This window comes from Homo sapiens, chromosome 20 (assembly GCF_000001405.40).
Source record: "Homo sapiens chromosome 20, GRCh38.p14 Primary Assembly".
Lineage (NCBI taxonomy): Eukaryota > Metazoa > Chordata > Mammalia > Primates > Hominidae > Homo > Homo sapiens.
In genome coordinates, this window is record NC_000020.11 from 61625884 (window position 1) to 61653167 (window position 27284).

At 52.8% G+C, this 27284-nt stretch overlaps 1 protein-coding gene across 5 annotated transcripts in view, besides 2 other annotated features; it reads left to right on the plus strand.

The window, feature by feature from the left end:
- Window positions 1-27284, plus strand: part of CDH4 (cadherin 4) — a 688357-nt gene that overhangs the window by 373623 nt on the left and 287450 nt on the right. The window lies entirely within an intron of this gene.
- Window positions 2485-3144: an enhancer, noted in NCBI's record as "H3K27ac-H3K4me1 hESC enhancer chr20:60203424-60204083 (GRCh37/hg19 assembly coordinates)". NCBI's record gives its function as "activates a minimal SCP1, AML or CMV promoter by ChIP-STARR-seq in naive H9 embryonic stem cells {active_cell/tissue: H9 hESC(naive)}" and the evidence as "EXISTENCE:reporter gene assay evidence [ECO:0000049][PMID:30033119]".
- Window positions 3145-3803: an enhancer, noted in NCBI's record as "H3K27ac-H3K4me1 hESC enhancer chr20:60204084-60204742 (GRCh37/hg19 assembly coordinates)". NCBI's record gives its function as "activates a minimal SCP1, AML or CMV promoter by ChIP-STARR-seq in naive H9 embryonic stem cells {active_cell/tissue: H9 hESC(naive)}" and the evidence as "EXISTENCE:reporter gene assay evidence [ECO:0000049][PMID:30033119]".

Below are 27284 nucleotides of genomic sequence, written 5' to 3' on the forward strand. Positions count from 1 at the left end.
CGAGTTTTCCATTCGCACATCATGTAACCTTGACTTCTCGTCCCACCTCGTAGGGTTGCTGTGAGGATCCAACAGGACCTGACCAGCTAGGAAGTGCTGCACCCACGTTAGCGCCCCTGCTGAGTGCTGGGCTGGCATGGGCCATTCACTGCACAGCAAGGCACACTTAGCCCCTGCAATATTTGAGCACTTACCGTGTGTCTGGCCGAGTCCTGGGTTCAGGGGTTGTAGCAGGGAACAGAAGAGACCGAGACCCTGCCCTTGGGAAGGGGACATTCTAGAGGTGGCAGTGGGAGAGTTGTTAACCAGAATTGAACTGTCGACTGGGTCAGGGAACGGCGGAGCAGGCCAAGGGGTGGGGGTCAGTTTTAAATGGGACGTCAGAGCAGAGGGAATCAGCTGGAGGCGACCTCTGCACCCTCCAAAGACGACCTGGAGCTGCAGAGGCCAGTTTCACTGGTCTCATTGCACTGTCACCTGCGTTTTCTGTCTGGCCTTGATGTGGGGGCATTACTTTGGGCTCATGAGCCAAGAATGTGTGTGTGTGTGCACGTGACTTGCAGAAGCAGAAGGAGAAGCACCCGTGTTCCCGAAGTCAGTGCGTTGTGGGGGGTGGGGGTGGCACAGAAGGGGTTGGAGAGGATGGACGGGTTCACTGCCTAACAGGGACAGGGCAGAAGCTCCTCTGTGAGCTGGCTGGCGCCCGGCCTTGCCAGTCCATTCTGCTGGGTCAGGCCTTTTTCCACGCCCGGGCTTAGCTAACGTGGGCAGCAGGTCTGCTTCTGCACCCAGCAGCAGGTGGTCCTGGAGCCGGAGACAGCTTGGTTGCTCGTGTTGAGTGAACAGGAAGGAATGTGTAACTTGTCACCTCCACCTATAGATTTTAGAATGATAGGAAGGCAGCCATTGTAACTCAGAGCCTCCTGAATTTTTTAAATTGCGCTCGAAGGGTCAGAAGCACTGAATTCAGGCCAGAGAATGAGCAACTCTAGAAAACATGTTTGTTTTCTGCCCTTGCCTCCTGGTTCTTTGAGAGCCACTGAAAATCAGGGCTTCAGAATCCTCTTCCGAATCCTGTAGGAGGGCGGACCCTACCCTGGCTCACACGGTGGCAAGAGGAGCCTCAGCTCCAATCACTGAACCAGACAAGCTTTAGGGGAAAAGAGTCAGAAGAAGCGTGTTTTGGAGGAGGGTGGGTGGGTGCTGAGAAAGGCCTATCAGCTCAGCGGCTTCTGGGGGCAGCAGGAGAGGGGCACACGCATGATAAATTCTGTCTAGACACAGGTTGGAGGACCCGTTCCAGGGGTGTGTCCTCTGGGGATCAGGCCAGTGGTTCAAGGTGAGCAAACCAGGGAACCGTCTGCTGGAAACCTGACTGTGCCAGAGTTCCACCCAGAACTTCCCAGGGTGTTGGTGGCACTTAGGTGCCAGCCTGCCTGCCGGCTTCAGGCCCGTGGGACAGCAGGGAACACTCAGGTCTCCCCCTTGGCACAGTGAATGCTCAAGACGTTCTCCGCTCATTGGCTGGGGTGGGGACCTCTGTGCTCTGTGGGGTGTTCCGCAGCCTCCCCACCTCCACCCCTGGGGATGCCAGGAGCACCCTGCCCCTAATGTGACAATCAAAAAGGTCACCAGACATCGCCAAGTGTCCCCTGCGGAGCAGATGTGCCCGCATGGAGAGCTCTTTGTGTCGACCATGACTGCTTTTTGTTTTTATAAATGGGGAAGCGGACGGGCAGAGAGGGCACCCCAGGAAGGTCCTTTGTGTGCCTGGTAGAGCTGAGGCCCCCTGGTTGGGACAGCAGTGCCTCCCGCCCCCCGACTCGACTTGAGGCCCAGGCACTTGGTGTCATGCAGGGGTGTCCAGACGGCCTGGTGCAGGATCCCTTTGATGTGGAGGAGGGTGGGTCCCTGCCCGCTAGGGTGGGGCAGGGTGGTTCTGTGAGAGGCGGCCACTTCTAGCCCTTCGTCCTTTCTCCCTTTTGTGTCGGTGTCCCCCAGCGAGGCCCAGGACTTGTTCTCACCCCTCCCTTCCCTGCAGGCCAGCCGCCTCCTGGGCCCCCTGGCCTTCCCCATGGCCTTTCAGGGGTCTGCGCCCTACCTCCTCACACAGCACAAAGCCAACGTGCCCCACCAGGAATTCCCACCTCACCCCTGTGGCCCAGCCATTCTCCCGTGTGGGGACGCGTGGACACAACCCTGAGGAGGCTGGGTTTCTTCTGGCATCGCCGCAGACATCCTCCTGCTGACCCAAGCCCCGAAGCCCGCAGCTTCCTGAGCTATTTGTGTCTCATTCACATGTGCGGTTTCCCCTTCCCAGGACCCCCGGCTGCTGCGTCGGCCTGAAAACACACACAGGTGCTGAGGTCTCGTAGAGATGGTGCCGCCTGCCGTGCCACGGTTTTCCTCACTGCCGCCCCCACCCCTCTGCACATGGAACCGGGCACCCCCACCCCTGTGCTCAGCCGGTCACTGCTCTGTCAAAGCGACTTCAGGGATCACCTGCCTGCAGCTGGCTTCCCCACTGCACTTTGGGTTTGCCAGCTCATTCATTCATTCATTCATTCATTCCTCTGCTTGCCCTTCTAAGCCTGGCTTTACAAACTCGTATTTTCTCCACATTCATTAAAGGCAGAGAGCATGAGGCCGAGCTCCTGCCCTGCCAGGAGGTCAGGTGCCCTTCCTGCTACAGGAGAACGCCGTCCACCAGGCAGCAGGGCCTCCAGCCCCACAGGCCGGGCATCTGGAGTTTCTCCAGGTCCTGTGGGGGATGGCCCGGGTGCACCCCGCCCAGCGGGTCTGTTGAATGCAGCTGCCAGGCTAGACTCACGCCCACTGACTTGGGATGTCACACAGAGACTTGCAGCCAAGAAGACAGAGCCTGCTCCCCAGCCCTGCCTCTGCATCCCAGGTCGTCTCTGGACACCAGCCACATCATGGGCACAGACAAGTGTGTGGGGACATGAGGAATGGATGATGGGCCCCTCTCCTTCCTGGCTTGCACATTCCTTTAGGGTAGGATGGTGTCTCACTTTCATATCTCATCACCATCCCTGGCCGTGCGCTGCATACAGTGGAGGCTTGATAAATGCTTAATGAGCGTGTGCCGGCAAGTGCCTCTCAGCCAAGGCATCTCGCAAGCTTCCCAGGCTCTCTCTGCGGGAGCCGCCTCTGATCTGCACAGGCAGGCAGGAGCTTGGCCACGCAGGTTCAGCTGCAGTCCCCAGAGCAGCTGCCACTTTGCATAGCTGCGCCGTGGAGAGCAGAGAGGGGCTGGGAGGAGGCACGTGCTTGTCTTGTGAAGCAGGTCAGAAATGGCCACTGGAAGGCCAGGCGGTGCAGGCCAGGGAGCCCCCTGTGGCTCTGTGCACCCAGCCCAGCCCCCCAGCCGGAGCCCTCCAGGAAGCCTCTGGCCAAAAGCTTTGACTCCAGCCAGAGTCCCTGGGAGCAGCCGGCAGGGAGAGCTGGAGACAGATGTTTTGAGAGCTCACTGATGCCAGAAATGAAATAAAAAAAAAAATAATTAAGAGCTTGGACTCCAAAGGTCTAGGGATTAAAATTCCCCAAGGCAAAAATGAGCTGTAATCAAAGGAATGGTGGGCTGTTATCTGTCCTCCACACTTGTCGCCCTGGCACGTGTGGTTGGCTTTAATTATTGATATTTCTTTTTAAGTTAAAGATGAATTTGAGACAGCTGCGAACTTGGACAGTTGATCTTCCAGTGACAGGGAAACCTGTTAGTAATGATCACTTAAGGCGGCCGCGGTTTTTCCAGCCTTAACAGAGGTGGCCAGAGCCATGGAGAAGAATCTAGGAGCCCCAGACAAGCTAGGCTGCCCTGTCCCTGCCAAAAACTGTCCCACGCGGCTCCCTGCCCCCATGGGAAGGTGCTCGGTGCCCAGCGTGTCCAGGTTCCGTCCTCCCTGCAGCCTGGAGCCTGAGTCCGATGCGGCGCCTTCCTTAGATGGTCTTCAGGCCTCTGCAAATGGAACCAGCTGAACAGGAGGCAGAGGGTGAGAGTCAGGGAGTCCCCTGTGACTCAGCGCAAGGAGTCAGGGAGACATGACCTGTGGCTCGGAGGACAGCTGACTGCCTTGTCCCAGCTTTCCACCTCTGCCCGGGCTCCGAGGCGGTGTGAGGCCTCTCACATTGCTCCCTGACACCCAGGGAGCCTGGCAGAGGCAGCATCAGCCCCAGAAGGTGCCGCCGCTTACAGCCATGAACACAGGATGCAGAGCAGTGCTCGGAGGCAAATCCACCCCAGTCCCTCTTGGACCTCAGCCACCATCCCCAGCCAGCCCAGTCAGGCGTCTGCCAGCTGCCAGTTATGCCTTGGTGTGTGTGCAGCGCATGTTGCATCCTCCTAACACTTCTGTACTGTGACCTCATGGCTGTACCTGATACACCTGGGAGTAGGACTTGGGCTTGAAGAGTCTGCCTGGGCGCCCGCTCACACCAGCCACTGGGGCCCCAGGATGCTCTTGACCACGGTCAGCAGGGAAGGGCGAAGTGTCAGAGATCCCCAGGACTCTGCTTGGCTCAGGGCTTGTGGTTTAGCTCAACATGGGACGCTCAGCGGGGCAGGTCAGGCAGGGCCTTGGTTTGGGGCTCACACCTGCTGGGAAGGGCACGGCCACACCTGCAGGCCCCTGGCTGTGGGATCCAGGCTCCCCGTTTTGCACTGCTCTTGCATGGGGCTTCAGCGCCTTCCTCCTCCTCTTGGGGAAGAAGTCACATTTGGTTGGAAGTTAGCTTATATTGTGATTTAAAATTCTCCCAGAGTCCAAGACACTCCAGGATCCCAAAGTTAGTGTTGGCAAGAACCAACTTATGGATTATAATTCTTGGTCATGTTCAGATCCTCCCTGATACCCATTTGAAACTGAAATGACTCTCTGGGTAGAAATAGGTAGAAAACAGGGTTCAGTTATTCATTCACCAAACCCGTCCAGAGCCCTTCAGTTGCTGGGGCTGGGGTAGAGCATGAACGGGGCCCTTGCTACATTTCTGTGCCCGTGGGAAGGTAGACGGGTGAAACCCACAGTTACTGACAAGGGAGACACAAGGTAAGAAGGAAGTGAGCAGGGATAGGAGGTGGGCGTGCCCCAGGAAATCCTGGAGGGCCTCTCTGAGGAGGTGACATTGACTGAGGAATGAGACAGGATCTAACGTGTGAGGACAGAGGAGAAGTCCAGAGGTTCCCAGTGGTCTGCAGTTCTGCCTGCTAAGCACCGCTGTGTCCAAGGTGTTCGAGCTGGGACTGGGGATGCACAGGGGAAGCATAAGACAGCGTGGCTCCCCTGGAGGCCCCTGACTCTCCCACCGTGATGGCTGCTAGGCGTTTCCGTCTGTGTCCACTGTGCATGTCACCATAGTGCTGGGGACGCAGAGCTGTCCCGTTTGGAAGAAAACTATGGACTGGAGCCAGGGCTTCAAGTTCGGTGGGGCTTGGTTGCTTTGTTTAAAAGTGGGGCCATGGCTGGGTGCAGTGGCTCACATCTGTAATCCCACTTTGGGAGACCGAGGAGGGCAGATCATCTGAGGTCAGGGATTCGAAACCAGCCTGGCCAACATGGCGAAAACCCCTCTCTACTAAAAATACAAAAATTAGCTAGGCTGGGTGTAGTGGCATGTGCCTATAATCCCAGCTACTCAGGAGGCTGAAGCAGGAGAATCGCTTAACCTCGGGGGCAGAGGTTGCAGTGAGCCGAGATCACGCCACTGCTCTCTAGCATGGGCAACAAAGCAAAACTCCATCTCTAAAAAAGAAAAAAAAGAGTGGGGCTCAGGAATCTGCATTCTCAGGTGCACCTCTGAGATTCTGACTCAGACTCCATGAACCACCCCTGAGGAGCACCCTCTTGGCTGGCTTCTGCCATTGTCTGCCACAGCAGCTTTTGTTCTACTGGGAAGTGGCTGAAGGTGTGGACAGCAGTGGGGGTGGCACGCGTCCTCCGGCCGGTAGTAAGTGAATGGGGCCCTCAGGAGGCGTGTCCTCCCTTGCAACTGCAGACCACAAGACGGCGCCTCCCCACCCAGCCGCTGCCATAAGGAGCCAGGTGTGGGTGGAGCCACGCAGGTTATTTCCATCTGACAGTGGGGCACCATCCAGTGCATCGTGAAGGCTGCGCAAGTGGCTGTCGGGATGATGCCAGGCTCTGCTGACACGTCAGATCATCCGGGATGCGCTGGCACACACGTGTAGCCTCCTGTGATGTGCACAGCACACCGGGGCAGGCTCTGAGTTTGCTTGCTTGAGTTTGGAGTCTCCACCAGTGCAACCTTCAGAAGAAATGCTCCTGGGGCGGAGAGTGAAGCGCAGGGCACATGCATTCAGTGCAGGCTGTGAAGGAGCATGTTGGGATGGGGCTTGTTTGCTTGAAAACAGAAATTCAGTTGGAGGCCTTGCCCTGCCTATCTGGAGTGTGGCTCCTGAGCTGTGCACTTATACAATACCCACTATATCACCCCCAACAATCGACCCTGTGCTTTTCAGCAAAACAGTGTCACCGATCCTTCCAACTCACCACCCACAGGTGCCAGGATAAGTGTGACCCTTGCCCCATTAAAGGATGGAAGCATCGTTAACGCCGGGCCTCCGGGAAATGACTTTCACACAGGGAACCTCAAGGCTGCTGGAGGCATACCAGCCCGGCTTCCCCCTCCCGGGCTGGGTGGTCTCTCCTTTGTAGAGGCAGCCCCCACTCTACCCTCCACCCACTCCACCCACTCGTCTGCTCACATCCATCCATTTCCCCACCTCTCTTTCCATCTCCCCACACACCCACCCTTCCTCCCCTCTCACTTCCCCCATGTACCTGACAAGCCACCAACCAGCCACTCACTCATTCATACTTTTACCCTTCACCCATCCATCCCTCTACTCACCCACTGACCCGTCTGCCTATCTGTACTCCCCTGTGCACCACCCGCTTCCTCTTCCTCTCCTCCTCTCCCCACCCTCCCACCCTCCCACCCACTCACTTCTCCATCCACTCACCCATCCACCTGTCCATCCATCAACTTACCTATTGGCTTTACGTTGTCTCTCTATCCATCTTCTTATCCTCCCATACAACCATATACCCACCCATCCATCTTCCCATCCATCTACCCATCCATTCCTCCATCTACCCTTCCATTCCTCCATCCATTTATCCATCCATCCATCTCTTCATTCACCCATCCATCTATCCATCTATCTGTTCATCTATCCATCCATCCATCCGTCCATTCACCCACCCATTCATGCATCCTCCCATCCATCCACCCATTCATCCACCCATCCATCCACCCATCCATCCTCCATCCATTCATCCATCCTTCCATCTCTTCATTCATTCATTCATCCATCCATCTATCCATCTATTTATTCATCTGTCCATCTACCCATCCACTCATGCATCCTCCCATCCATCCACTCATGCATCCAACTCTCCATTCATCTATCCATCTCTTCATTCATTCATCCATCCATCTATCCATGTATCTATTCATCTATTCATCCATCCATCCACCCACCCACTCATGCATCCAAACATCCATCCTCCCATCCATTCATCCATCTATCCATCAGTTTATTCACCCATTCATCCTATCCATCCACCCATGCATCTGTCTATCCTTCCACCTATCTGTCCATCTATCCATCAATGTATCCACCCATTCATCCCATCCACCCATCACCAAGTTCCAAAACATGTAAGACAGCCTAGATCTTCCCGGAGACCATCTATCATGGTGGTAAAAAGCATGGTTTCTGGCAGCAAGGGTGAGTTGTACAACCTTCCTGCACCCCAGTTTCTTCATCTGGGAAAGGAAGTGACAGGAGCACCTGCCTCTTGGGGTTTTGGGGAGAACTGACGAGACCGTCAATGTGATGCCCCTGCACAGAGCTCAGTCCAGGGCTGGTGCTCAGTGATGTAGCCTGCAGTTAATGTGCACTGAGTGCCATCTCCCCCCCAGCTGTCCATACTGTGCTCTTTAAACACAGAGACATCTAATTGCTCTCAGAAACACGAGGGCTTTCTGTTGTTTAATAGCAGGAGACTCTGATGGAAAATCCCAGTTCAGATTTTAAAACACCACCACCAATCCCAAATGAGTTTTCAAGGCGGGTTCTGCTTCTCTCTGCAAGTGAAACCTACGGCAAGTCAGTGTTTCAGACCCAGCTAAAGCCCGGTTTTTCCATCTCTAACAGGGAGGTGCTATTATTTACCTGATCCAACTCAGTGGGTTGTTTAGGATTAAACGAGTGACACATTTCATGAAAGGGCTCTGCAAACCGTAAAGCTCTGTAAGCAGCTCAGGGCATGGGCCACCCCCAGCCACACGGACAGGGAGAGCCTCTTCACCCTGTATACCCCTCCTTCCTGTGTGTGGACAGAAATGGGCTCATTTACGCACTGAACACACACGCAGCACCTTCCGAGCCCCCAGAAGGAATGGTGAAACAAAGGGAGGATGAGACAGTCCCGTGGAGCTCGGGGTAGGTGCCTAACACCACGACAGCTCAGGCAGAGAGCAGTCACCCCACACAGCACCCCACACCGGTGACCCTGACTTCCGCGAGTGTTCTCCACACCCATAGATCTGCAGCTTTAAAGCAACAATCCCAGAGGCTGCGGGGCAGGACCCCCACCTGGATCATTGGGGGCTGGAGCAGACTTTGCAGGAAGCATCTGTGGCCTCCTGTGCCCATCGCAGCAATGTGTGTGTGGCACCCAGCACTCCTGGGCCGCCCCAGCCCGTTGCTGGGAGCTTTTTTCCCACTGTGGTAAACTACACTTAACATAAGCGTTCGTTTTAACACTTTGAAGCGCAGAGCTCTGCGGCGTTAGTGTATTCACATAGCTGTGCGGACATCACCTCCTCCAGAATTCTTTTTCCTAAAATAAAATTCTGTCCCCATTAAACACAAACTTCCCACTTCCCCTCCTGCCAGGCCCTGGCAACCGCTGTTCCACTGTCCGTCTCTGTGATTTTGACTGCACTATGCTCACATAAATGGAACCTTATAATAATTGCCCTCTTGTGACCGGCTTATTTCACTTAGCATGATAATGTTCCGAAGCGTGTGTCGGAATTGCCTTCCTTTGTAAGTCTGAGTGGTTGCCATTCTATGTAGAGGCGGCACTTTGCTTTCGTGCCCGTCTGCCCGTGGACACTGGGTTGGTTGCAGCCACATTTTGGTGATGTGAACGGTGCTGCTGTGAGCGTGGGGTGCAGACCTCTCTTCGGGTCCTGCTTCCTGTTCCTTACGATGTCTGCTGAGAAGTTGAATTGCTGGACCCGGCAGTAACTCTAGGTTTAATTGTGTAAGGAACTCCAAGCTGTTTTCCACAGGGGCCTCACGGTTCCACATCCCCACCAGCGATGCACAAGGCGTCCCCTTTCTCCCAATCCTTGCCAACACTTGTGAATGTCTGTTTTTTTATAATAGCCATCCTAAGGATTGTGAAATGGTGCTGGGGCTTTTTGCAAATATAACCAACCCAGTCACCGCCCCTGGGAGAATGGTGACTTGGCTGCTGCGGGTGATGTGCCCTCACCCATCCTGTGCCCAAGAGGGGCTGGCAGAGGGAGGGCCTTTTGCCTGCGTTTTGAAGGCAGACCTTCAGGGTCTCAGCTGGCTCTTCTGTGTCCCCTCCATGTTCTGTTTGACTGCAGGCATCCCCATGGTCCCCTGAGAAGGACAGGGCACAAGGGAACGAGGGGCGGGCAGGGGCCCAGGGGCCGGGCAACAGAGGCTGGGCTATCACCACCAGAGAGGGCATCCCAGGGAAGCTGCTTGGGAATTCTGGGGGTTGGAGTAGGAGGAGGAGGATTCTCTGGGGGCTGACCAGTTTTGCACACACTTGCCACCCACTTCTGCCTGAGCGCTAGGGCTGCAAGCACGTCTTCCTGGTCCGCGCCTGCCCCCAGGATTTCCCCACTGTGCTCCCAGAGCCTGCCCGCCCATAGTTGGTCCTGCTAGACTCCAGAGCAGGGGGCAGGACACAGGCCTCGAAGCTTTGGAAAATGACTTAGTGGCAGTGGGGGCTTCCCGCAGTCTTCCAGGGAGGGGCAGAGAGCATTTTCCTGAGCCCCAGAAAGTGTGGCCGTGACAGCAGCAGGCCTGAGTCCTCTCCAGTACAAGGCAGGCAGGACGCCAGCGGCTGGGCCTGCTGATGAATGCGGGGGGCTCCACACGCGTGGGGGTCCACCGTGGGTCATTCTTCCGAGTTTTTTCCTCATCTCACTTCCAATACAGAAAGCTTGCCCCGCCCTTCCTTTGGCAACTGGGCTAATGGCCGTTGCTGAAATTTTTAGGCAGTTTACCTTCTGCGGATTCACTTCTCTTTAAACTTCAGACCATGAATCGCATAAGAAAAAGCACTCCCAGAGCCTCTCAATGGAATGTGGCAACAGCAGAGCCAGTGTGAAAAGGCAGAAAGTGGCTCCTATTTAATCTGGGAGAGTTTGGCTCCAATCATTAAAAATGAAAGAGAGAAAAGAAGTTTCTTTTTAAGAGAGAGACCTGCTAGGGCTCTTGTTCCATTAATAAGCCAAGTGATTTTTAAATGAGGATCTTTGCTTGAATAATTCGTTTTATCATTTACCAACTAAAATGGAACATCAATCCCTGTTCCCGTCGCAGGGCTGTCCCCGGCAGCCTTGCTGCCTTTTACTTGTCTCTGAGCCCAGCGAGCGTGGCCTTTTGTCTATCTTTGCGAGGCTCTGGCCTCTCTTCCACGGGGCTTTCAGCCCAGCTGTGGCCTAGGATGGAAGGCAGGAGACAAGGCTGCCCGTCCCACCTGCTCTTCTCCCAGCGCCTGGAGGCTCCAGAGTTCCACGCCCTCCCCTGGTGCCCCAGACTCCTGAGTCGCTCCGTCACTGTGAAGCACCAGGTGCCTGAACCCCAGAGGGAAGCCCAGGAAGCCTCCACAGGGGCGGTAGAATGCCAGGCTTTGCAGGAAGATTCTACCACCAGGCTGCATGGAGGGCAGCTAGCTGGGGGCCCACCCTCCCTGAGCTGCACCAGGGCCGGGCCACTCACCTCCCCTGATGGTCCCCTGCAAAGACTGCAGCAGCCTCTGCCAGTTCTGATCCACCCCTCGGCGTGCAGAGATCACCTGGACTCCAGTCCAGCAAAGGTTCCTGGGTCCATTCGGGGGCAGGCAGGGGAGCCTCAGTTTGGGGTTTTTGTTTGTTTTGCCTTCTTTGCTTTTTGCTTTTGTTTGTTTTTCTTCAAGTTCTGCTTTTTAACTTTTTATTTTGAAATATGTAATCATGATTCATGGAGAGTTGTAAGGATAGCACAGGGGTCCCAAGCACCCTCTCCCAGGAAAGGGGCACGAGGAAGCTAGTGAGGGGATGCGCGTGTGTGTCTGACTCTGCCGTTTATCACACGGGTGTATCTGTTTAACCGTTCTTAGGCTGCATAGCCGCTCCCACGACCAGAGAGACCTCCCCTACCCGCAGCCCTGAGGCTGAATCTGGGTGCTCAGTGCCCACCCTGGATCTCCTCTGAGGGTATCTGTGAAGCTGAACATCCCAGTGTGAACGTTGGAGGCGCCCTTAAGAACTGCCTTGGTTACCTGCTTTTACCTGAAGCTGCAGCTCTTTCTCACCCCTGTGTCTCAGCTCTTGGCAGTAACTCCAAGAAGCTGTCCTGTCACTGCCCTATGTCAGCTTTTCTGTGAATTTCACCTTCCTTTTTTTCTCTTTTATTTTTTATTTTTACTTCTACGTACTTTCTTCATGTCATGCTCCCATTCTCCCTTAACAAGCATCTAAACCATATAAAATATTAGCTTTGTTCTCTTCTAGCATAAAGCATCTGTGACATGGTAAGAAAAATGACATGAAAATATGGCCGGGTGTGGTGGCTCATGCCTGTAATCCCAGCACTTTGGGAGGCGGAGGCGGGCGGATCACCTGAGGTCAGGAGTTCGAGACCAGCTTGGCCAACATGGTGAAACCCCATCTCTACTAAAAATCCAAAAATTAGCCGGACATGGTGGTGGGTGCCTGAAAGCCCAGCTATTTGGGAGGCTGAGGCAGGAGAATCGCTGGAAGGAGCCCAGAACCAGGAGGCGGAGGCTGCAGTGAGCCGAGATCGTGCCACTGCACTCCAGCCTGGGCAACAAGAATAAAACTCCGTCTAAAAAAAAAATGAAGAGAGGAGAGGAGAAGAGTCGGGGAGTGAGATCACAGACATGAGGCTAATTAGGAAGTTGAAAGACAGCCAAAAATCTGAAAAAGAACAGCATCCACCATAGACGAGTGGAAGGGGGCACACATTGTTGAGGGAAGGCCCCACATATAAGGTGCTGATCTATGGATCGGCTGCCCCCTTCACACTTTCTTCCTGATCTCATGGCAGCCCTGAGTAAACACTTACCTCGATGAGTATTTCCTGCTCACCACATTGCTGAATGAATGAATCCTAAAGGAGAAATGAGATTTGTGTGGTGGCTTTCTAGGGAGAGTGTGTCCTGGCAAACGGGAACCCCTTGTGTTCTGTAGAATATCCTAATGGATTTGAATATGGCAAGGGTGTTAAAAGCATAGGAGAACTGCTGAGATATGAACAGAAGAGCAGGAAGTGTTTTGAACTCTCTGGGGGGACACTTTGGAAGGAAGTATAATGGATGGAGGAGAGCTGGGAGGGCAGCCGGGTGACATGGAGACCAACAATGGGAAGGGCCCTGGTAGTTCCCAGGGTATTGGCTGAAGAACCTGGTGAAATATAAAGATACCTGTCATTCAATTTGAGGCACAATGTGCACGTAAACCTTTCCTTTCTTCCTCTCTGCCCACATTGTGAGTTAAATCCTTTGAAAATGGGTTGGTTTCTGGTTTTACTTCGACATCTGGGTAGATGCAATGCAAAACAGAGGTGCTCTATGGGAGATGGATGGATGACGGATGGGTTATGGGACAGAAGCAAAGGTGACCCTGAAAACTGAAGCACCCTGAAAATTCCCCAAGATCTCAGTGAGACTTCAGATTCCGCACAGTGTAGGGTAGGGAATTGAAGCCAACTCAGGTTCCAGGGACCCACGGAGGCCAATAGTCACTCATGGCGTTGTGATAACGGAATGAATGACGCCATGTGGAGGGCAGCCAAGGCTGCCTAGTCATGTTCATCAAATGTCAGTCCCTGTTATTACTGCCGGTAGAATGAATGAACACGTGCATAAGTGAATGACAAGAGAAAGAAAGGGGCAGCACCAGCCTGTGTGCGGGATAAACGACGTCCCACAGTATCTGGCGACGGTTCTGAGGTCCGTGCAAGGTGGTGAATTGAAAATGTAGCACAGCAGGGATGTATCATGTAGGGCCTGCCCCTATTTCAGTGGTGGTAATCTGTGCAATTATAGTCTGTGCTGTTACATACCCACCATTCATACAGGGCTTTCCAGGGCATTCTCTGCATTGGTCCTCCTTTGGAGGCGGGGGGCAAGCATCAGACTGGCAGACACTGACTCCCTCTGCCAGCAGGGCGGCTCAGCATGGCAAGTGCCATTGAAATAATTGATTTCTTGCTTTGATTGTGTAAGATGGCTGCTCTGTCATTTCCTTGGTATGCTGGCTAATGTTCAATGCTTACAGTTCCTAACCTGAAATAAAATCATTTACGATATTAATTTCTCCACATAACCTCTTTAAGGACTTGATGAAAGCCTTGCCTAAGAGGTCATCTTGATGAGACCCGGAGTGCAACATTATTGTGGGGCAGAAGGGATACATCGCGTCAGTGCTTGCCTGCACACGGGCCCTGACTCTGCATGGTTTTAAAGAGAAAGAGGCTGTTTCCCTAACCTGGGTCTCCTCTGGCTATTTATATTCTTAACGCAGCGCAGAAGGCTCGAGCTTTGTGGGGACTCTTGGATCTGTGAACAGCGTCTTTATTTCTTGGTGGGCTTTAGGTCAGCTGGCCGATTATTTTATGTCCTTTTTATAGTGAGAATACCATTGTGAACAGAAAATTATCTGGCTATCTCACAATGAAAATGCCCATCTTTGTCATCTTGGAGCCGCTGTGTCAGATGCTGAACCCAAACCCAGCTCGGCTTCGTCATAATTGCCTTCTGTTCAGTTTTGAAGTAATTACTGTCTTATAGGAGTTCTGTTGTTTTATCTTAGTGGATAGTTCACTTGGGAGAGCTGATGGGAAAAAGAAAGCCATAGATTTGGCTTCCCCATGAAGCTCCACAGCTTCTGATGGTTAGTGGTATATTTTGATATAAAATCCCAGAGAAAATAGCAAGATCTCTCTAACTGGAGGAAGGCGTGCGCTCAAAGTCGTTGACTCTTCTTGGTCTTTGTGACATTATCAGCAGGGAAACCCAGGCCAGCCTTGCGGCCTGGTGAGACTGGAAGCCAGCTCAGAGAGCACGCACAGCAGCAACGTCACGTGCCTCGGCGGCCTGGCTCACGGCCGATGCAGTAGCCCACACCATCCAGGGTGCATGAGGGCCCCAGCTGCAGAGATGAATGTGCACGTGCATACATGCGAATCTGACTCAGAAGACAAGCATGCAAGTAGACACATTTTCCGAGTGTAGACCAACCACCCAGCCCTGTGCTGGCTTCCGGGGCCTATGAGGGGGCTGCTGCTGTTCAGGGGGATTGGAGGAGGGTTTAGAGAAGGGGAGGAGCTATTGTCATGTGAGTGGAATACTGCCACCATGATGAGACAGGTAAAAATAAATCTGTAGGTTGGAGTCCGGGTCACACCCCTCGAGGAGGAGAGGAGGGATGCTTCGAGACGGACTGGAGATGCATCTTTAAGAGTTGGCAGGAATTTGCTGGCAGAGAATTTATAGAGCAGCCTTGAATCCATACATGATTTTCCTACTGATGGAAAATTCTGCTTTCATCACCCAGCAAACTCAGCGGAGATTAATTAAACATGAGACACTGATTAATGTTTGAAGGGTAGCGGGAGTGTGGGCTACGCTGTTGGTCTGTCTTTGGGTGATTCTTGGTTCCGTTTCTGCTAATAACTCCTTAATACTGCGAGTTCCAGCTCTGAGATGGGGGAAGCGAGTGGTGCCGGGCAAGGCAGCTGGGCCTGCTGTGGGAACGCCCAGCCTGCATTCTGGAGGGTGGTAGCTGGTGGCTACGTTTGCTGCACGTGGCTGGGCAGGTGGGTGCCAGAGGCCCAGGTGGGTCCCTGGGACGTGCACCTCCATGTTTTCCCCAGCCCTGTGCTGCCCTCTCAGCTGCAGGCGCTGGGCAGGGTGGGGCACAGGAAGGCGGCAGGATGGAAGGGGACCCCGGAGAGGGAGAAGGCAGCCTGGCACAGGGTCTGGGGAGAGGAAAGCCTCGATGTAGCTATGTGCCAGTGATTTGGGGGAGTTTTCAGCCCTTTCCCCATTTCATGATTGATGTCTGCTCAGAGGCTTCTAGAAGGTTGGCCCTTTTCATCCGCTCAGCACAGAGGATCCAAGGGAGCTCAGCAGGGTGGGCCACCCCTCCAGCTCCCCACAGCCCACCCCTCCAGCTCCCCACAGCCCACCGGCCCCTTCTCTCAGTTGTTCCCACAAACCAGGCCTTCTCCTCCCAACCCCCTGCTACCCCAGAGCCCTCAAGGAATCATCAGACTTTGCCACCTCAGTTCATTCTGGCTCAGAATACATCCCTCACCTCAGCACCCTTGGTTTAGCAGATGTTTCCAGCTGCCTAGTGGGTGTCCAGAAAGCCCTGATCCCACCACACCTACAGCTTTGGGATCAGATGGGGCTGCCTGACCCACCAGGCACCACAGCACCCAGGACACCTACAGCTTTGGGATCAGATGGGGCTGCCTGACCCACCAGGCACCACAGCACCCAGGACACCTACAGCTTTGGGATCAGACGGGGCTGCCTGACCCACCAGGCTCCACAGCACCCAGGACACCTACAGCTTTGGGATCAGACGGGGCTGCCTGACCCACCAGGCACCACCAGGCACCACAGCACCCAGGACACCTACAGCTTTGGGATCAGATGGGGCTGCCTGACCCACCAGGCACCACAGCACCCAGGACACCTACAGCTTTGGGATCAGACGGGGCTGCCTGACCCACCAGGCTCCACAGCACCCAGGACACCTACAGCTTTGGGATCAGACGGGGCTGCCTGACCCACCAGGCACCACCAGGCACCACAGCACCCAGGACACCTACAGCTTTGGGATCAGATGGGGCTGCCTGACCCACCAGGCACCACAGCACCCAGGACCACGTGATATTTAGCAGCCTCTGAAATGTTTTCTTTTAAAATCAGAAAGAAAAAATGAGTATGGTCTAGCCCAGGTTGTAGTCATCTTTTTACCAATACGGTCATGAATGAAATATAATTCTTAATTTTATTGTTCTAGAGGAAGGGGCCACCAAGGCAAAAGTGCCTGAGGCCCACGGAAGTCCTAGGGCACCCTGGGGTTTGGAATGGGGAACCAGCAGGTGGATGGCAGAGGGGTGTGGAATGGGGAACCAGCAGGTGGGTGGCAGAGAGGTCTACACTACAGAAGGAAGTGCTTACCAGGCTGGGCAGCAGGTGTGGGCAGGACAGAAGGCTTAAGGGGGAGGGTTGTTGAAGGTGATCAAAGATGAGAACAGAGAGGTGGCCAGAGCCAGGTTGTATCTGCAGGCGAGAACTTGGGGTTTTACTTGGAGCACAACAGGATCTGGTGGGCAGTTTGAAGCACAGGCAGACACGAACCGCATGATCCTTAAGAATCCCCCAATGAAGGCAGAAATAAAAGTCCTCTTGCTTTTGTTTCCTATTGTGCTGTAACAAATTACCATAAGCTGATTGCCACACAGTCCTGTAGGTCAGAAGTCTTACAGGGCTATAATCCAGGTGTCTGCAGGGCTGGTTCCTTATTGAGGCTCCAGGGGAGAAACCACTTCCTTACCTTTCCATTTCTGGAGGCTGCCTGCATTCCTCAGCTCGTAGCTCCTTCCCCCATCTCTGAAGCCAGAAAATGTATCATTTAGACCTCTGCTTCCATCCTCGCATCTCCTACTCTGATTTTCCTGCCTCCTTCTTTCCCTTTTAAGGATCCTTGTGATTACTTTTAGGACTGACTTGGATGATACAAGATGATCCCCTCATCTCAAGATCCTTAACTCAGTCACATGTGCAAAGTCCTAGTTGCTATGTGTCTTAGTCCATTTTCAGTTGCTACAACTGAATAGCTGAGACTGGGAAATTTATAAAGAAAATGAATGTCTTTCTTTTAGTTCTGGAGGCTGTGAAGTCCAAGACCAGGCAGATGCATCTGGCCGGCTTCAGGTCAGGGCCATGCACTGTGTCATAACATGAGAGAAAGCATCACAGGGAGGGGGGGTGTAGAGAGAGCCAGACTGGCTTTTATAACAGGCCCACTTTCGTGGTAACGACCCCACCCCTGTGATAACCTATTAGTCTGTTAATCCACGAATGGCTCTGCCCTCATGACTCAGCTACCTCTTAAAGGCCCCACCTCTCAGTACCGTTACATTGGGAACTGAGTTTCAATATGAGTCCCAGAGGGGACAAACATTGAAACCATAGCACCGTGTAAGGTCACAAATTCACAGGTTCTGGGGATTAGGGCAAGGCCACTAGGGGGACCATTATTCTGCCCACCACACCTCTGGAGAGAGGGAAACGTGTGCACTAATGCCCTGAGTGTGTCAGGGGACCAAGAGGTGCATGTCCCATCTCTCCTTCACCCGTGTGTCCCATGTGTGTTGAAGAACACAGCATTTAGTGTAATCGGACCAGGCTTCCTCTTGAGACCTCAGGACTCCACCAGCTCAGAAACTGTTTTCTGTGGCTGTCATTGGCCACGGTGGCTCTTCTTTGATCAGCAATGCTGTACACAGCCAGCTGCTGCTACACCAGATCCTCACGGTTTTCTGTTCCATGTTCTTTAACTTTGGACCCGCCCTTTCCTTAATCCATCTGAGTTCCCCTCGTCATATGTGCTTTGGCACTGGGGCATCCCCAGTAGGCGGAGCCCCTGCTACATGAGTCCAGAAAAAAATAAATGATTCCAACACTAGTTAAAGAAGGCAAGGAAGACTTTCTGGGAGAATTTTGCTAGAAGGGAGTGGTAGAATTCAACTCTGAATACAGCAAAGACAGCTGAGGGTTGACAGCCAGTGAGCAGAGTGAGGGGTCAGGGGATGGAAAATTACAGACAGGAACAGGATTGGATAGCAAGGGTGGGGATTCTTGCTAAAGGCAGGCCAAGCAGTTAGATACCAAGGGTGGGGAATGAGGAACTTGATCCAATATCAGGAGTGTGGAGGAGAGTTTCAGTGAATGAGCTGAGCTTTGCCAAAACCAGGCTTGGCAGGCCAAGGTCAAGGCTCCGTCCAGAAGAGGGCCCAGAGGAGACTGAGTGAAGTTCTTTCAAAAAGGGAGGCCACGTCACAGGCGCGTTTTAATCATCGGAGCACTCCTGAGGGTGGAACAGGGTCAGCACCTCCTCACAGATGCACAGGGCTGCGCAGAGCCCTTCGAGGACGGGGAGCAGAGGCTCAAAGCCAAGGCCAGTGAACCCGCCTGGTGCCTTCGACAGCTCTACCATCCTGCCTTGGCCTCCCCCTGCACCCCTCAAGTCCTGGTCCCAGATACTTGCAATAAAGGAGCCACAGAGCCCCCGCTTTGAATGACGTGAGCGGGCTTTCCAGGAAGGGGAACTGCCAGGATGAGATGATTACCAGCCAGAGGAGAAGCACAAGGTCACGGAGCGGGCTCAGGAGGGGCGGTCTCCCCAGGCCCCACCCGCTGCCTCCACAACCAGGGCAAAGCCAGGGCCAGAGGGGCTTCTTCAACAACATCAACAATCCGTCTATGTGGTGGGGCTCTGCCCTACCGTTCCTGGCTTCGTGGAGTTCTGAAATACTTTGTGCATAGGAAGGGGCAGCCCACCGTCAGCCAGGAACAGCAGTCCACAAGCTGATGTGGAAACCCTCCTCCCCGGCCTGTCCAGCCTGCAGAAAACACATGCTGTGAGCTGGATCCAAAACAGAGAAGCATTTAGGGAGGAGTCGCTGAGTCGTGCGGCCTGAGGAAGGGACCCCGTCAGCCGACTCCAGACCAGCCTCTCAGCTTGGGCTGTGGGCGCCGGCTCTCTGTGTGCTCACATGGCGGGCGAGCTCCCGGGAGTCTCTTCTTACAAGGTCACTCATCACAAAGGCCCCACTCTATTGCCTCAGTTAACCTTCAATACTTCCTTGGAGGCCCCATCTCCAAATTCAAGCACACTCAAGTTAGTTACTAGGTTTTCAGATGCATTCTTTCCCTGTGTTGCCAACAGTTTCCATTGTTGTGTGCTTGTAACTCTTGATCCCATCTGCCTTTTGGAACAGTGGATAAGAGACAGCCAAGTCTAGAATTCCAGCTTTGCCCTGCATGGCTGTGCTATGTTACCTAGGGCCTGTTACTTAACCTCTCTGAGCAGCAAGTTCATAGTTAAAAAGTGATTGCCGGCCAGGTGCAGCTGCTCACACCTATAATCCCAGCCCTTTGGGAGGCTGAGGTGGGAGGATCACTTGAGCCCAGGAGTTTGAAACCAGCTGAGGCAACACAGTAAGACTTCATCTCTACAAAAATTTTTTTTAAAAGTTAACCAGGTATGGTGGCAACACACCTGTGGTCCCAGCTACTCAGGAGGCTGAGGCAGGAGGATAGCTTGAACCCAAAGTCAAGGATGCAGTGAGCTATGGTCACACCACTGTACTGCAGCCTGGGTGACAGAGTACGACCCTGTCTCAAAAAAAAAAAAAAAATTAACTGCTAACATTTCCTGGTGCTTCTGCAGTGCAGGGAACCATGCGGAGAGCTGCACACCCACTCTATTTCACCCCCCTTCAACCACCCAGAACCACAGGGTGCTGTGGTTATCACCTGCACACACTAAGGGGGAAACTGAGTCACAGAGTGGTGAGGTAGTTTGCCCAAGATCACACAGCCTGCTGTGTGATGGAGCCATGACTCAAACCCAGGTCTTCTGACCCCAGAGTTAGTCCTGCCCCCTCTTATAAGGTGGAGGGAAAGATAGCGCCTTCCTCCTGAGGGTGGTGGATAAGAGGGCAGACAGCCAGTCTGGATTCCAGCTCTGCAGTGCACATGTCTGAGACTCACAGGCAATATTGTGTGTACAGGGCCTGGCCCAGCCCCAGCATGCAGTGAGCTCAGGAGAAATATTCTAACAGTCTGTGTGGTCACTCACAGCCCAGGTCATGGTTTCCACCAGGCTTGGAATCATACCCCTTTCAGCTCAGAGGACCGAGCATGCAGTGTGATTCCCGCGGTGGGAAGTCAGCTCATTAAAGAACCCGGCACCTAGATCAGGGGCCTCTTCACGCTGCCTGGATGTCCGTTCAGGAACTCGGCTGAAATTTAAACCTCCTGACACTCTGGTCCCCAGGCCTTCACACACTGGGCCATCTTCCGTGAGTGTTTATTCAGCCCGCACCTGCTCAGCATCCCTGTTCAGAGCTCTGGTCAGGCATGTTCCTGCCACCTGACAGCCACCCTTCTGAAGGGACACACACAGAGGACCAGGGCACAGTGATCACCGGCTGTGGGCATGGGTGTCAGACACACCTGGGCTCACCCTGGCTCTGCCATCTTCTACCTGTGTGACCCTGGGCCAGCCGTTCACCCCCTCTGGGCCTCAGCTCATTGTCAAGTAGAGAGAACGGGGTTGCTGTGGGGGATCCCTGGGGGGACGAAGGTAAAGAGGGGCCGTGCCCTGGGGCTCTGAGCAGCTTCTGCTCTCACTCCTGCAGGCAGGTGAGGGCTACAGACACAGATCAGGCCTCGGCGCCCCGGCTGCTCGCCTGCCTCCCTGAGTCCCAGACACATCAGCCTCCAGTTCATTAAGGCCAAGAGCACTAAAAATTCTGCAGAAACACTTCAAGGAAGGGCTATGAATTAAATAACCACAGGAAAGCTTTTGCTAAGGAGTTAAGGCTAAATCCAGCCTTAAACATTTGATTAGAACATTTTCTGATTCCAGTGTACTGGAATACTGAACTTCCACGTTGGCTCAAAACTGCAAGTGTGGTTAAAACACACTGTCTGTGATTCGGGAAGACTGGGAAAGTGAAGGCTCCAGGGAGTGGGCTCTCGAGCGTTTGCCTAGTGAGTTCACTTCAGCCATTCTTGTTGTTCTTGACAATTATGCAAAATTGAGCACAGGATGCTTGGAGGGAGAGAGGGTGACACCCACCCAGCCTGTCCTCTCCATCCACACGAATGTTTAGGGAAGGAGATGCCTCATCCAGCCAGTATAGCGCCAGGCACGTGTTCCCAAGCAGGTTCCCTTGGGTTCCCAGCAGCTCAGCCTTGGGTAGGATCAGGGTCTCATGCCCCAGGTGATTGGATCCAGAGCCACCAAAGTCCCCTTGCAGACACCCTTCCTTGCGGGTGGTACCTGGCTGTCTGCCTGGAGGCATCTCCCTCACGCTTTGCCCTAGCGCAACTTGTCCTAGCAGAAGTCCAAAAACATGATTCACATAGAATTGTAAAAAGCCAAAGGGGTGATTTGCAGAAGTAAAATGAAATTGTCAAATGCCAGAAACACATGCTTTTATGTCTTTGTATCTCAAAGTGATAGTCAAAGCATCTAATAGGAAAAACACATCAGTATGCACACACATATTCTCTCTCCCTCTCCCTCTCCCTCTCCCTCTCCCTCTCCCTCTCCCTCCCTCCCCCTCTCCTCTCTCTCCTCACAAGGTGTCAAGGGGCTTTAGGTACATGGGTGGGGAAGATCTTCCCCACCAGGCTGATCCCCATCTGGGAGGCTACTGCTGGTTTTCCAAATGTGGAGAAGAGCCAGGCTGGTGTTCTGTGTCTGTGGGGTGCTTGCTCTGTAGGTACCACGGGGAGTTGATCACAGGCCCTGACCCATCTATTGCCTCTGAATGGGTGTTTGCTTAGGACAGTACAGCAATGTGTCAGACTCAGAGGGAGAACAGCCCCCAGGGGACAGTTAAACAGCAGCCATTATCAGAAGCACAAACCGAGACTGGCAGTCTCAGGCCACACTGGTCATGAGCACACCCCTGCAGGGGCTGCGGCCTGCCGAGTGAGTGGGGGATGGACACAGGTTGGCCGGCAGGAACCCTGACTGCTGGGTGCCAGGACAGAAGAGGAGACGCTTCCCAATTAGGGGCACGACTCACTGCAGGCAGGCGTGGGCTCCAGCCACCTCTGACTTCCCTTGCCTGCCATTGCCCTCAGAGGAGCGCAGGTGCAGAAGGCACCGGCCACACCACACCATCGATTGAGTATTGCAGGGAACAGAAAAGGAAGATGAAGACTTGTTCAAGATGCTAATTCATTGTCTGGGTCTTTCTGATGGAATGTGGGAATAGGAGGCAGTGAGAAGGTCAGGGCTTTCAGTAGGGAGGAAGAAGGGTCAGCCCGGGTTGGAGAGGCACCCGCAGCTGGTGATTATCAGAGCCTGCTTGTGCTTGCATTATGTATAAGGACTCACTCCTCTGTGCAGACAGGATTTCTCACTTAACCTCTGAGGGCCGGCAGTGTGATGTGGAGAAGGCACACAGACCTCAGGTCCAACCGAGCTGGAGGCACACCCGGGTCCGCAGCTCCTCACAGGGCCAGCTCTGCCGAGCCCCACTTTGTCGTCTAGACAGTATGGGGTGGGGATTTGGAAGTGAATGCTATGATGAGCTTGCTCTCGCCCATCCTTTTCCCATTTCCCATGTTGGAGAGTCTCTCATCATTCCTTTACCATCAGAACCACTGCAGGGGGTGAATGGCGAGAAGAGCTGCTGGCTGCAGGGCATAAAGGTAGCTTTTTGAGGCGCGCTCCCAGGGTTCATGTTGAGCCAAGTCAAACCACCACTCTGGGTCCCAGTATTTGCATGTGTTACGGGGATAGCAATGGCCACACCTCTCCCAGCTTGATAACGAAAACCAAGTGTGTTAACATGTAAAGTGCTTAGAACAGTGTCTGGCACTGCGATTGCTGACTACAGGTTTGCAGGAATCCTACTTTTATGGGAAGGAGTTTGTCCTGGAGTCTGTCCTGCAGGTGGCCCCACCTCGCAGGTGGCCATCGGGGGCCATCTGGTCAGCCCTGCTGCAGGGGACTTGCACCAACCTCCTCTCCTCCAAATTTAAGATTCTCAATTATGTTTTATCTATATTCGTTTATTTTCTAGTGATTTCATGGTTTTAGCTCTGCCTTCAGCATGAGCTGATAACAGTGATGGTCACATATCTGACTAATTCCAGCCCTGTTCAACCTCACCTGCACACGTGTGTCTGCCAGTGGGCTCTTCCCCCTTCTATGGCTGCCAGATTCCAACTACATCAAGGGCGAAGACCCCACAGGGCCCCCCGAGCACGCACGCTCACCTTTTGCATCACAGACCCATCCTGTGGCCAGAGCCCAGGGTCAAGAGGAGCACGTCTGGCAGAGAGTTCAAAGAGGCGTGCTGGGCTCCGCTGCCTGGGGCCGTGTAGGCCAGGTGTGTGGCATAGATCTTCCTCTAAACCCTTTGTACTTTCTCCCTCACTTCTTTTTAAACCACCTTCCCTTGCACACTACTCCACTGAATTCATTTTTGAAATTCTGGAAGTTGTACATCCAGGTCACCGCTTATCAGTTGTCATGAAACTCTCCTTCGAAAGTGAAAAACTGACATCTCTGCGGTGGAGACAGGGAATCAAGGAGCCCGGCACTGATGACAGGTGCATCGCTTCCTGCAGGAAGAGACTTGTAGGCTTGACTCCTGCCGGGAGCGCGCGTGGCTGAACGGGGGCTCGGTATCCACTTTGGAAGATTGGATATTTGGAAACCGCAGAGCAGCTTGCAGGAAGCGTTTGTGTTTGTGATTAGCTTGCAAGAAGAGCATGGCGGGCCGTGAGCAGGTCTGTGATCTCTTACTCCCAGGACAGTCCCTTGGCCCTGGACTCACTCGTTATTTCCTGGGCTGTGACACCTGAAAGAAGGAAGACTGAGGCAGGACCTTTTGTTAGCCTGTGTCTGACCTCCAGGACGCTGAGCTATGGCCCGGCTCCAGGCATTGTGGCCTGGGATCTGAGAGTGTGAAACTCACTGCAGAGGATGCCGGGCCTTCTGCCTGCGCCGGAGCCCTGAGTCTCCCCAGGTTGTGCCAGCAGCTCCACTCTCCTGGGCACATTTCCTAAATGGGCAGTCAGCGGCTATCCCAGTCTTACCTGCCTCTCCTTCTTGCCTCTTCCAGTGTATTCTCCTCCATGCCGCTGCCCGGCCCATCAATATTCTTATACCAAAAATTAGATCATGTGACTGCTTTGCTCCAAATCCATCAGCGGCTCTGTATCCCATTTGGAGTGAAATCAGAAGAATCTCTTCCACAGGGGCCCTCCCTGCTCTGGTCACCGCTGACCTCGTTTACTGTTCAAGATTCCAGCTGCGTGAAAACAGGGTCTGTGTTTTGTTCACCAGTGACTGCTTAGTGCTGTCTTGCACAGAGGCAGCAATCTGTATATACTTACTTGTGGAATAAATGCCATGTTTGTCTTCTCTAATGGGCTGTATGTTTCTATAAGTTCATATGCATAAGATATATATGTACTGCGTATCTGGAAGCGTGGGTAAATGCTGGCTGATACTGTCATTAACCGGTGTATCTTCATATTAGCCAGGAAGCTTTTCTATTAAACATTTCTTCCCTCTTACTAAGCATCTACTGTATATCAGGCCCTGTGCACAGCCAGGAGGACACACCCTGGCATGAGACAAGTAGCTTCCCCACCTTTAGAAAAACTACATCTAGAATCAGCATAGATGATCCACCCATATACTGAGTTTATATTGTATTTTAAAAGGTTTATTTCCATACTTAAAGGTAACAATAATTACAGGTCTTTAGTGATGCTAATTCAGAAATAAGTAGTATTTTGCTAGTTTTTCCAAGAGCTAACAATTAGCTCCGTCTCTCTTGCTGGTGTGAGATGTATTTCATGTAGATATTAGCAGGGGGTTTAATCAACACTTCCATACACAGATTATCTATATAATTATGCTCTTCAGTGGCCCCATATTTATTTCCACCCAGGGCTAACATCGAACCTTTACTGAAGGTGGTTTTAACCCATGGCGTGCAGCACAGAGGGCACTGGTGTGCTTGTGTGAGTTAGCCTCGTGCTTGGCCGTGCACTGGTGTGCTTGTGTGAGTGAGTTAGCGCCGTGCTTGGCCGTGCACTGGTGTGCTCGTGTCAGTGAGTTAGCACCGTGCTTGGCCGTGCACTGGTGTGCTCGTGTGAGTGAGTTAGCCTCGTGCTTGGTCACGCACTGGTGTGCTTGTGTGAGTTAGCGTCATGCTTGGCCGTGCACTGGTGTGCTTGTGTGAGTGAGTTAGCATCGTGCTTGGCCATGGCAGTGAGTTCTGATTGCAGGGTCTCAACGCTCAGGGAAGGACGAGTGCCCCTTCTGTGCCATTTTCCAAAACTCTAGGGATATTGAGTCTTGCTCAGGTCACCCAAAGGCACATGTCCCAGCCCCGAGTCAAGCGTACAGGGGCCTCCCGGGAGCACCCTTGTGCCTGTCGCGGCGTTCCTCTCCTTCTGCCGCTTTCCCACCCCTTATGACCGGCAGCCTGTTTCACAGGGGTCCTAGGTGCGGTCAGCCCCCGCCTGGAGGCCACGGGGCGCCCTGAGCAGTGTGTGGGTTGGACTCACACCTGCACCGGGACTCTGGCTTCTCCATTTAGTTGCCCTGTTACCTCAGGCAGGCGGCCCCACCTCGCAGGTGGCCATCGGGGGCCATCTGGTCAGCATTGCTGCAGGGGACTTGCACCAACCTCCTCTCCTCCAAATTTAATAATTCCCAATTATTTTTTTATCTATATTCATTTATTTTCTAGTGATATCGTGGTTTTAGTATCTTTCTCAGGATTCTCTCTGTCTTAATGTTAAACACAATTGTTTAAAAAATGGCATTCCGATTTTCAGTCATTCTGTCTTTGAGGCTGTGGGTGGGAAGCCATCGGGGCTGGGCGTGCCAGGCAGGGCCCCAGCTCTGGGGTGGAAGGGAGGCCCTGCAATGGTCCTGCTACTGAGGCAATAGAAAGTCACAGGGGAGAGGAGAGTCCCGCAGGAGGAGGTGATGGACCCACTGGGTGGTGAAGAACAGTTTCTCTTCCACACATTTATTTAGAAGATGGCCTCGGCCAGGACGGCAGCCTGTGGTCCCAGGGAGGAGGAAGAGTGAGCCAGGTGCCGTGGGGTCTGTGCACGTGCCAGCGCTTTTAATGTCACCGTCTCTTTATTAAAGTACATAATATACACTCATGATAGGAAGAGCTGAAAATACTGGAAAGAAAATAAAAATCCTACAGAACCCCAGTATCCACGTGAAACTATGGTGACACCTTCGAACAGTTCCTTCCACCCTCTTACTCCTTTGTATACGCAGCTATGTATGTGGTTTCGCTTATTGCAGTGGGACCGTACCCTACATACTAAATAGCACGAGGCTTGGTCGCTTAGCAGTAACCATGCACACCTGCTGTTTTATACATTTACATCACTATTTTAAATGACTGAATTCACCATTATGAGATAACTGTCGTCTATTTAAGCGTCCTTTATGACGGTTGGCTGAGTTATCTCTAATTTTTCAAGTTCATAAATAACATGGGGATGAACACCTTTAATCTTTTTTGCATTTGTCTATTATTTCCTTAGATACATTCTTAAAAATAGGAGTCTGAGGTCACGATGCATGGACATTGATAATGCTTCTAATAAATACTTCCATATCATCTTCAGAAAAACCCGATTCCATACATCCCCACCATTGGCATTAGAGAAAAGCCACTCAAATTCATGGAATCTTGAAATTGAATTTTTCCTGGGTAGATTCCCAAGGGTTATACTTAGGAATTAATTCATGGGGTGATTTTTTTCAAATGAAAAAAAAAAAATACATTTTCCTTTCCCATAATGCCAAAGAAAAATCAAGAATTTTTTTTTGGGGGGGGGATAAAAAATGATCTCCCTTTATTACTCTCCCAAAGGTTACCAGTGTTTGAATTTATTTATTTATTTATTTATTTTTTTTTTTTTTTTTATTGATCATTCTTGGGTGTTTCTCGCAGAGGGGGATTTGGCAGGGTCATAGGACAATAGTGGAGGGAAGGTCAGCAGATAAACAAGTGAACAAAGGTCTCTGGTTTTCCTAGGCAGAGGACCCTGCGGCCTTCCGCAGTGTTTGTGTCCCTGGGTACTTGAGATTAGGGAGTGGTGATGACTCTTAACGAGCATACTGCCTTCAAGCATCTG